This window comes from Homo sapiens, chromosome 5 (assembly GCF_000001405.40).
Source record: "Homo sapiens chromosome 5, GRCh38.p14 Primary Assembly".
NCBI classification, from domain to species: Eukaryota; Metazoa; Chordata; class Mammalia; order Primates; family Hominidae; genus Homo; species Homo sapiens.
The window spans coordinates 79,515,077-79,526,949 of NC_000005.10; positions in this window are offsets into that span (position 1 = coordinate 79,515,077).

Sequence of the window (11,873 nt, forward strand, 5' to 3'; positions counted from 1 at the left end):
AAGAATAAAGAGCAGAGCAATAAGCAAACGAAATAATGTTATAAAGGATAGTAATTTTATTTGCAAAATAGCAGTTTTGACATAGGAAAATGAGTCAATCTTAGTTCACGTATAGCAAATGCCAGTGTGTCCTCTCAGTTTCTCTTCATCAAGAATATGAGTTCCATGACACTTGGCTCCAGCCAGTAAAACAAGAAAGAGAAAAAGTATATGGGTTTCAGTCTGTGGAATTTAAATTAAAATTTAAAAATTAAAAATAAGAAAGAGCACCAAATCCTTTTTCATTAACACAAGCATATTTTCGTCTTCTTTAGTTTTGACCACATAATATGTAATTACAATATCTCTTAAGTGTGTTTTGCATTTTCTGTATGGCAAGGGTGAGTAGCTGTCTATAGGTTTACTAGCTATGTGTGTCTATAAACACCATATTATGAGTGCTTTTTACATTGTAAATTACTACAGAGTTTTTAAATTATTTTAAAGTAATTAGGTTAAAACAATTTTTTAATTAGGTAAATCATATAGTGAACTTTGATTTTATTTTACTTAACTTGATAAGCATGGCCAAGAAATAGAATTGCTGCGTATTGCCAAAGGCCAATACTGTTTCAAGTTAGTCTACAAATTTAGTGACCCTGTTTTCCAGACCAAAATCTAGACACACCATTTGACGTTAGGAAAAAATATTTGAATCTGAAGTGACCTGGAAAATCCAAAACATAGGATTACCAACCTATGAAGTGATTATTAGGAAAGTTATAGATCAATATCAACGCAGTTTAAATAAAAGAAGCTAAAACTCGTTAGAATGTATACCACGTGTGACTTTTAGAAACTGTTTGTAATGTTAAACTACTCACATGGTTCCTAATTAAGGAACATTGGTTTTGCAGCTTTCTGTATTTACATTTTCTTGCTCAAGTTAGGAGTCCAAGATTAAAGAACACCACCAACAACAAAAAAGACCCATTTGTAACTGATTCAAACACTCTGGTCATCTTCACATTATAAAATTATGATCTTGCTTGAAGTTTGAAATATTAAGTCTTTTTTTTGAGACTGAGTCTCGCTCTGTTGCCCAGGCTGGAGTGCAGTGGCGCGATCTCGGCTCACTGCAACCTCTGCCTCCCAGGTTCAAGCAATTCACGTGCCTCGGCCTCCTAAGTAGTTGGGATTGTAGGCGCGCGCCGCCACGCCTGGCTAATGTTTGTATTTTTAATAGAGATGGGTTTTCGCCGTGTTGGCCAGGCTGGTCTCGAACTCCTGGCCTCAGGTGATCCACCCGCCTCGGCCTCCCAGTGTGCTGGGATTACAGGCATTACCCACAGCGCTCACCCTAGTTTTTTACGTTGTTTTGTTTTGTTTTGTTTTTTGAGGCGGAGTCTCGCTCTGCTGTCTAGGCTGGAGTGCAGTGGCACGATATTGGCTCACTGCACCCTCCACCTCCCAGGTTCAAGTGATTCTCCTGTTTCAGTCTCCTGAGTAGCTGGGACTACAGGCACTTGCCACCACGCCCGGCTAATTTTTGTATTTTTAATAGAGACGGAGTTTCACCATGTTGGCCAGGCTGGTCTCAAACTCCTGACCTCAAGTGATCCGCCCACCTCGGCCTCCCAAAGTGTTGGAATTACAGACTTGAGACACTGCGCCCGACCGCGTCGTTTTTTTTTGTTTTGCTTTTTGTTTGTTTGTTTTAAGGTTATAACAAAAGGTTAATGAAAGGCAAATCCCTGCTTGCCAATTTGTCTAATGTATATTATTATCATATTAATCGAAACTTGTACCAATTTGTATTTCAGACAAATGGAGCTTCTTATATCTAAAATGTTAAAACAATAAAACTATCATTCTTCCAATAATGTCATCCCTTGGCAAATTAAAATACAAATTATGTTATTACACTACTAAAATTTCTCTACAAACAATTTCCTACCTAACTAAATAACTTCTCTCTTTCCTGCTCTTTCTCTCCATGTTAATTAAAGCTCTCACTTTACCATTTTCAAACACTTTATTCTACCCTTTCATCACAACTTCCTCTCATTTACAGTCTTTTTTCCCCTCATCTTTACCCAACTGTCAAAACAGCTTTTCAGCTGCTTTCCTGCCTTTAGAGTGCTGACCCTTTGTTAGTTTCTACTTTTCACAACCACATCGTCTCTTCTCAGCTGCTCTTTTATCAACTGAAAATTGAGAGCAGCTTTTTTTCTACATAAATTGAATGGTGCACTGTGATATAATTACTCAAAGTTTATGCAATTATTTAACTTCAGCCTCAATCTAGAAAATTCTACCTATAATTTATTACTTATAGGTATGAATTTCTTGCCAGCTTATATGGGATCAGGATCAGTAAGTACATGTGTCCATGTAGTCAAAAGAATATGTAAAACTTTGAAACATTTTATGTAATATGGCATGTCTTCTCAGAAAAAAATAGCCTTTTCTCCCTGCTTGAAACAATTCCAATACAGTTTTAAGAGGAGTCAGAGAGGCATTCCATGGCTTTCCATCTGTAAGTAAATAAATATCTTTTCTCCTAAGATGAGCTGATGTAACCCAAATTTTAGTTGTGAATTCCCAACCCTGATTTTTTTGTATGTTTTTTAAAATAGTAAACTTCCTAGAAAGTAATATATTTTCTTTTACCGGAAGAGGAAGAAAGTACTTTAGTAGAGTTTCAGATTTTAACAGTTCCTGTTTCCCACTGTGCTCTGAAAATTTGTAGGGCGGTTTATGAATACCCTCTGATTTTAGAATCTGTGGGCGAAGGCATCTGTTTTAGTTACAGAGTTTATTTCCATGCCCTTAATAGGAGATGGCAATCTTCAATGGGGTGTTCATACACTGGTCATGAGATATGTCTTTTTCAATGAAAAGACATCTAAGAGATAGAAAACCTTTGCAGGAAAGAGAGTAAAAGCCAGATTTTATTTTTAATTGCCTTACATTAGATAATAACAACTTGCTTTTAATTACCAAAATACCACTATCAATTCAAATAAAGTCAGATTGAAAAATAAGTTAAAAGATATCTCTCTATATAAAATAAATATCATAATTCCTAGTTTATAATACATAGTCATGAAGAAACTAACCAGCAAAGAGTAAACGTAATAAGAATGAAAGAGTTGCAGGGAAACAGAATTTATCCAGTGACTCTCCAAAATCATCCCACTTCCTCCATTATATAGCAGATACCGGGTACCATTGAGTTGTGTATGGCCTGTAATAAGACCATCTTTTATTGTCAGTAATGTTCTGAACAGAAGCAAAGTAGTTAAACAGTCTGAAGGGTGGGAACACAAGTGTTTGGCATCTTCAAGGCAAGGCTTGAGGACAATTTATTACAGAGGTTTGAAAGTGGTAGAGGAAAGGAAGCTAAAGAATTAGCCTTAGGAAAACTATGGTAGATAGCCATGGGAAATGATCTCAGAACTACCTCCTGCTCTGATTTTTACTGTAAATTCATTTTCCAAATATGGTCAGAGGGATACAAATGTAATCCTAGATAGTGAAAGAGGGTACTAGAAAGTTTTCAGTTAGCTGCTGTTGAGGGCCCACATAGAACAAAATTAGAGGAAATGGTAGTACAACTGTCTATATAACATTTTTAAAATATTCAGAAAAGATGGGGATAAGGTACCTTTGAAAAAATTGTCTGGCTTAACCTGGGTTGGTTGGTTGATTGTTTTAAGCAGGAGTTAGAGAAAACAGGCTAGAAAAATACGCAGATCTGCAGAGAACTACAGTAAAGAATGTGGAGTAAAGGTTGTGCTGTACCTGTGCAGTTACTTAGAATGGAATGCTGTGGAAGCTGATTGCCATGGTAACCAATAGTCTTTTTCCTGAATGGGGGAACAGAACAACCATGAGGAAAATGTTTTAAATGAACTACCTTATTTTGTGACTGTTATGGTGCCAACTAAAACAAAAACAACCCACAAGGTATTTAGGACAATCATTCTTATGGAAGGAAATGGCCTTCTTTTCAGAGAGACAAGGCTGAGGCAGAAATTCTGGAGCATTTCAAAGAGAGATGGGGCTTTAAGATGGCAATTGCAAACTCTCTGAAGCAGAACATAATGGATAGATATTATATTTATGGCTAAAGCAGGCAGAAGCAAGACCTAGAACTCGTGTTAAAGTTTCTCCCAAGCAAAAGAATCAGAAATAAATGAAGATTCTCAACACTTGAGAGTTTCAGCCAAAATATTTCATGAATTATTTATGAGGCTTTTTATTTTTTTAAATCTTGTTCTAAATTTTAATTTCTCTAAATATTAAATGGAAATGGTAAATGTATCTGTATTAGTTAGGGTTCTCTAGAGAAATAGAACCAATAGGGTATATATATAGAGAGAGGTAGGCAGGTAGGTAGATGATTGATAGACATAGAGACAGATGTGATATTTATTATAGGACGTGGCTCATGTGATTATGGAGGCCAAGAAATCAATGTCTGAAGCTGGAGAACTAGGGAAGCTGGCGGCATAATTCAGTCTCAGCCTACAAGGCCTGAGAACCAGGGAAACCAATGTTGTGACTCTCAGCTCAAGGCTGAAGGCCTGAGAACTTGGAGTTCTGATGTCCAAGAACAGGAGAAGGCAGATATCCCAGCTCCAGAAGAGAGAGAGAATTTGCCTTTCCTCTGCCTTTTTGTTCTACCCAGGTCCTCAGCAGATTGGACAGTGTCCACCTACATTGGTGAGGGTGGATCTTCTGTACTCAGTCCACAGATTCAAATGCCATTCTCTTCTAGAACCACCCTCAGATACACCCGGAAATAACGCTTTACCCGCTACTTATGTATCCCTTAAGCCAGTCAAGTAGATGCCCAAGATAAACCATCATATCTTTAGTCAATATTTATTCTATTATTATTATTATTATTATTGTTTTGAGATGGAGTGTCGCTCTGACACTCAGGCTGGAGTACAGTGGCACGATCTCGGCTCACTGCAACCTCCGCCTCCCGGGTTCAAGCAGTTCTCTGCCTCGGCCTCCTGAGTAGCTGGGATTAGAGGTGCCCACCACCATGCCTGGCTAATTTTTGTATTTTTAGTAGAGACAGGGTTTCACCATCTTGGCCAGGCTGGTCTTGAACTCCTGACCTCAGGTAATCCACCCACCTCGGCCTCCCAAAATGCTGTGATTACAGGCGTGAGACACTGCACCCGACCTATTATTTTTAATAACAAATCATATATTTTTATCATATGTATCAGTAGTCCCCAACCTTTTTGGCACCAGGGACCGCTTTTGTGGAAGACAATTTTTCCCCTCGGTAGGGTGGGGGAGATGGTTTCAGGATGAAACTGTTCTGCCTCAGGTCATCAGGCATTAGTTAGACTCTCATAAGAAGCTCACAACCTAGATCCCTTGCATGCGCAGTTCACAATAGGGTTCACGCTGCTGTGAGAAAGAACCCTGAAACTTCATGCTCCTAGGGTTCACGCTGCTAATTGGACAGGAGGTGAGAGGTGGAGCTCAGGCAGTAATGCTCACTCACCCACCACTCACTTCCTGCTGTGCTGCCTTGTTCCTCACAGGCCATGGGCCCATATCAGTCTGTGGCCCAGGGGTTGGGGACCCCTGATATATATGATGAAATACATGATGAAAATATAGTTTTCCCATTTTGATTAGGTCATCTGCTAAAATCTCTTACACTTACAATAAAATCCAAATTCCATGCCTTGGCCTAAGAGGTACTGCATGATCTGGCCCCTGCTCACCTCTCTTACCTTGGTTTCCATTACCCGCTCCATTGCTAGTGTGTGGGTTGGTGCCTTGTCAACTGCATGAGCAAAAACTCCAGGTAATGGTGACTTAACCTATAAGGTCATTTTTTAATTTGCTTATTAAAAAGAAGTCTGAAGGTAGGTGGTCTTAACAATTGATTTGGAAAGTCCAAGGTGTCATTAGAATCTTTCCATCCCTTTACTTTGCTATCTTCATGTGTTGTCTTTTAAACCTGGATTGTTGTCCCTTTCTTTTTTAGAAGATTATTATATTTCCAGGCATCACATTCAAAGAACACCCAAAGCAGGAAGGGAAGGAAGGAGACTGAGTTATTTTCTCTTTTATGGCTACTTTTTTTACCAGGGAGAAAAACTCTGAAGGGACCTCAAGAAAATTCCTTCTCATGTCTTGTTGGCCAGAACTAGAGTACATGCTCATCCCTAAATCAGTGATTGACAGTTTGGAACTGGATTTTCTTGATTGGCTTAGGCAAGTGGTGGTTCATCCCTTGAGTCTGCCTATTGTGACTGAACCAAATTAAAACTCTCAGCATGGAAGAAAGGCCAGTGGCTGTTGGGCAAGCAAACCACATATTTGCCACACACCCTGAAGCCACTCATATTCCTGCTGATCTTCAAGTATAACAAGCTTGCTCCAAATGCAGGGCCTTTACGCTTTTTTTGTTCTTTCTGCCTGGAACACATATGTCCAAGACCCTCACATAGTGTGCTCCTCCTTGTCATTGAGTTCTGTGCTCAAATTACATCTCTTGAAAAAGATCTTCTTTATAAAATATCTGTACATCCATCGCCATTAATCTTCCACTTAATTTGCTTTATTTTCTTCATAGTATATTCAACACTAAAATAGTATTAGATGTTAGTGTACTCATAGAATAGAGCCCCATGAAGAGGAACTTTGCCTGTCTTGTTTACTTTCCTGTCTGTAATAGCAAGACAATGTTTAGCACATAGTGGGTGTTCAATAAATGATTATTGAATGAATAAATTTGCTAGGACTTTCAGTTATCCTTAGGTAGAAATTACTTAAGTCAGGGTTCCTTTTTTTTTTTTTTTTTTTGAGACAGAGTCTTGCTCTTTAGCCCAGGCTGGAGGGAAGTGGTGTGATCTCAGTTTACTGCAACCTCCGCCCCCGCCGGGGTTCAAGCGATTCTCCTGCCTCAGCCTCCCGAGTAGCTGGGATTACAGGCACCTGCCACCACGCCCGGCTAATTTTTTATATTTTTAGTAGAGATGGGGTTTCACCATGTTGGCCAGGCTGGTCTCGAACTCCTGACCTCAGATGATCCACCCACCTTGGCCTCCCAAAGTGCTAGGATTACAGGTGTGAGCCACAGCGCCCAGCCTAGTCAGGGTTCTTAACGAGGTAGCTAGAGCAAACAACAGCATCTGCTGTAACTAGAACACAGGGATTTAGTAGGATAGTATACGTAGCTCATAGAATCATTGGGAGAGCTGGGGAATTCTCCTGCTGAAGTCCCAGGAACAAGAACTTGTAGGAAACAGAACACTCAAATTAGGTATTTTGAGTCATGCTTAATAAAAATTACTACTTTTTTTTTCCCCAGAGACGGGATCTCGCTCTGTCACCCAAGTTGGAGTGCAGTGGCATAATCACAGCTCACTGCAGCCTCAGCCTCCCAGGGTCAAGTGATCTTCCTGCCTTAGTCTCCCAAGTAGCTGGGACTACAGGCACATGCCAATACGGCCAACTAATTTTTGTATTTTTTGTAGAGATGGGGTCTCACTATATTGCCCAGACTGGCTCAAATTCCTGGGCCCAAGCAATCCTTCCGCCTCGGCCTCCCAAAGTGTTAGGATTACAGGTGCGAGCCACTATGCCCAGCAAAATGCTACTCTTTACAAAGGTGGGGCACAGTATAGGAAAACCATAAGAGAGAGGAGAGTGCCTGGCATAGCAGCACAGACTGTCCCCTCTGTGCCTGAAAGGACAGGAGGAAGGAGCAATGGATGGAACCTGGAGACAGAGATGGCTGTGTGGAAAGCGTTGTCTGAAGTAGCTATGTCCTTTGCTTAAAGGTCTCAGCCAGCTCAGAGACCCCACAAAGAGACAGCCCAGGAAATGAATAACTCAACTTTACTCTCCTTCCCACCCCACCCCCCCCCCCATCTCCTGTTGCATTCCTCCTTGTAAAACTGACATATGGGAAGCTAGGCAGAGGAGCCCAGTGATGCAGTCCATGTTGGTCTGGGGCAAGGAGCAGGAAAAAGAAGGCTCAAAGATGGATCTGGAGAGGGAAACTAAAGATATCCAGTCCAAATTCTATTCTATTCAGCTATTAGATTAGCAATTATTTTAAAGTTTGGCATGTGGGAAAACAAGCACTACCACACAGTTAGTAGGAGTGTAAATTGGTATATCCTTGAAGACATATATAAATTTTGACACAGCAGTTCCACTTTAAGAAATTTATCCTACAGATATGCTTTTTCAAGTGTTCAAAGAAACACATAGATTTTTTTGTATTGCTTTAAAATGAAAAAAGGGAGAGGAGACAACCTGTATGTCTATCAATAGAGGACTGGTACAATCATATAATAAAACACTATGCAGCTATTTAAAAGAATGAGGTAGATCCATAGTCCTGATACGGAAAGATGCCTAATACAGAAAAAAATTCTAGATGGATATAATAAACTGAATTGTGGTTAACTTGAGAAAGTGGGAATGTAAATTTGAGATTTAGAGAGGAGAGGAGGATTTTTAAAAAGATTTCTGTAACACCATTTGTATCGTTTGCATTTTTTTGTAATAATACAAAACCAAACCATATTACTTGGAAAATATTTAAAATACACAAATATGTTTAAAATTCAATTGTGGGAGGATAGAATAAGACATTAATATACACTTAATTTTCCTATCTTCCTCTCCTTTATATCCTTTTTGGTAGAAAATACTGTAAGTTGACTGGGCGCAGTGGCTCACGCCTGTAACCCCAGCACTTTGGGAAGCCAAGGTGGGCAGATCACCTGAGGTCAGGAGTTCGAGACCAGCCTGATCAACATGGAGAAACCCTGCCTCTACTAAAAATACAAAATTAGCTGGGCGTGGTGGTGCATGCCTGTAATCCCAGCTACTCAGAAGGCTGAGGTAGGTGAATGGCTTGAACCAGAGAGGCGGAAGTTGCAGTGAGCCAAGATCGTGGCATTGCACTCCAACCTGGGCAGCATGAGCAAAACTCTGTCTCAAAAAAAAAAGAAAAAAGAAAATACTATAAGTTTACAACATACATTTATGAAAAGAAAAGTTTGAAATAAGGTATTTCATTGGAAGCAGTAATTCTATTGTATTCATCGAAAAGTTTGAAATAAGGTATTTCATTGGAAGCAGTAATTCTATTGTATTCATCACTGATGAAACCAGATCTGGATATTCTATTTTAGGAGAGATACTGATGAGATGGCAGGATAACTAAGATGGTGATGACCAACCAAGACAAGGCCATGTGAGCATGGATGAAGACAGATGTTTAATTTGCTGAACACAAAATCAAGGGGAGATATGATAGTTGACTTCATAGAAGGGCTATCACAAAGAATAAATAATAGCTATATGAATATGTGCTCCATGAGATAGTAAAGAATCAATGGTTTAAAAAAGTATTACAAGTCAGGTTTCAGCTCAATATGAGAAAAAATGCGAAAACAATTAGATCTATGTCAGTAGAATTGGTTGTCCTGAGAATAATTGGCTTAGATCTTCTTCACTAGATCTGAAGCAGAAACTGGCTGCATGATCAATTGTTGGATTGATATAGAAAAGATGCTTGTGTCAGATAATAGGTTAAAAACAAGGCCCCCAAGTTATCTTTCATTCAAAGTTTTATGACAACTCAAGTCTGAGCTCACATCAAAGTTGTCCTTCACTATTAGCTTCTCTACATTGTCTCCTTCAAATGACTCATTCTTTCCACTAGTGTCAGTCATTGTCACTGCACAACTTAGTTTTGACATTGTCTTCCACGCTTGATTCTCACATCTAGCCCACTGAAATGGTCCATTTGCATGTTCTTAAAAAATCAAAGTGAGAGCCGGGCGCGGTGGCTCATGCCTATAATCCCAGCACTTTCGGAGGCTGAGGCGGGTGCATCACGAGTTCAGGAGATTGAGACCATCCTGGCTAACATGGCAAAACCCCGTCTCTACTAAAAATACAAAAAAAAAAAAAAAAAAATTAGCCGGGTGTGGTGGCAGGCGCCTCTAGTCCCAGCTACTCAGGAGGCTGAGGGAGGAGAATGGTGTGAACCCAGGAGGCGGAGCTTGCAGTGAGCAGAGATTGCACCACTGCACTCCAGGCTGGGCGACAAAGCGAGACTCCATCTCAAAAAAAAAAAAAAAAAATCGAAGTGAGTAAAGCAAGTTAAACACCTTAATTCCCCCCCATACTCTTCCTCTTGGAATTCTTCCTTTTTCTGTACATGATAGTAAGCAAGGCTAACAGATTTGGATGATAAAGAAACAAGAAGCCCTTTTACAATTTAGACAATTTATTACTCACATAGATAGCAGGTAAGAAAAAAAAAAACAGCGAAAGTGCCAGTTCTCCTATGTCTCTTGTCTCACAGGACGACACAGAAACAATTTTTTATGACAAGGCAACATGAATAGTGGGATACCCTGTTGCTGAAGAGTCAATTCTATGAGGCTACTAAGCAGTTTTACAGTTGTATGCTAAGAGGGGAAGGAAGTTTGTATAAAACAAAATTTGGCCAACCTTTGTATTCATTGTGGGTCCTTAGACCATACCTGAGTTTATGCTAATGAAATTACTCAGGACAGGGGTAGGCCATACCAGAATTACCAAGCATGTGATTAGAGGATGAGGGCTTTGAGTAAGATATTATTAGCCCAGTCTCTGAGAAGGAGAAAGGGGCTAGGGATTGAGTTCAGTTACATGGCCAGTGAATCAATCCATGATCCCTATTTAAAGAACCACCAATAAAAACTCTGGATGCTGAGGCTCAGGGGGACTTCCCTGGTTAGTAGTCATATATTGGTGTGCCAGGAAAGTGTCCTGAGGACACAGAAGCTTCACATTTGGGACCCTCCGAGACCTTACTCTATATGTCTTTTTAGTTGTCTGGTCCTGATTTGTGTCCTTTTTTTTTTCTTTTTGAGACACAGTCTCACTCTGTCACCAGGCTGGACTGCAGTGGCATGATCTCAGCTCACTGCAACCTTCACCTCGCGGGTTCAAGTGATTCTCCTGCCTCAGCCTCCTGAGTAACTGGGTCTACAGGTACGTGCCACCATGCCCAGCTAATTTTTGTATTTTTAGTAGAGATGGGGTTTCACCATGTTGGCCAGGATGGTCTCCATCTCCTGACCTTGTGATCCACCCACCTTGGCCTCCCAAAGTGCTGGGATTACAGGAATGAGCCACTGCACCCGGCCTTGTGTCCATTATAATAGAACTATAATCATAAGTATAGCACTTTCCTCAGTTCTATGAATCATTCTAGCAAGTTATTTAATAGGAGGGGATGGTGGGAAACGCTGAGTTTGTAGCCAGTTCATCAGAAATGTAAGTAGCCTGGAAACTCCTGATCTTGTATCTGAAGCGAGGTCAGTCTTGTGGGACACTGTGCCCTTAGCCTGTGAAACGTTACCTAACTCCAAATAGTTAGCATGATAATTGCATTGCAGAAGGAAAAACCTCATACCTCCTCAGAACCCAAGAGACAATGAGAAACTGTCTCATGACACCCTCCTGAAAGATAGGAAGGCAAGTGAGAAATGGCCTTGAAGCAATTCCTCCCAAGCCTCCCATGGTCTCACGTTCCAGGAGGATCACAAGATATTCTGCCAAAATTTATGTCAGCTACAGTTAAGGCTTGCATGAAAAAAGGTCTGGAAATATGTTTGCCAAAGTAATGGGCTGGGCACGATGGCTCATGCCTGTAATCCCAGCACTTTGAGAGGCCAAGGCAGGAGGACTGCTTGAGTCCAGGAGTTCAAGACAAACCTGGCCAACATAGAGAGACCCTGTCTCTACAATAAATAAAAAATAAATTAGCCAGATGTGGTGGTGAATACCTATATAGTTCTAGCTACTCAGGAAGCTGAGACAGGAGGATCGCT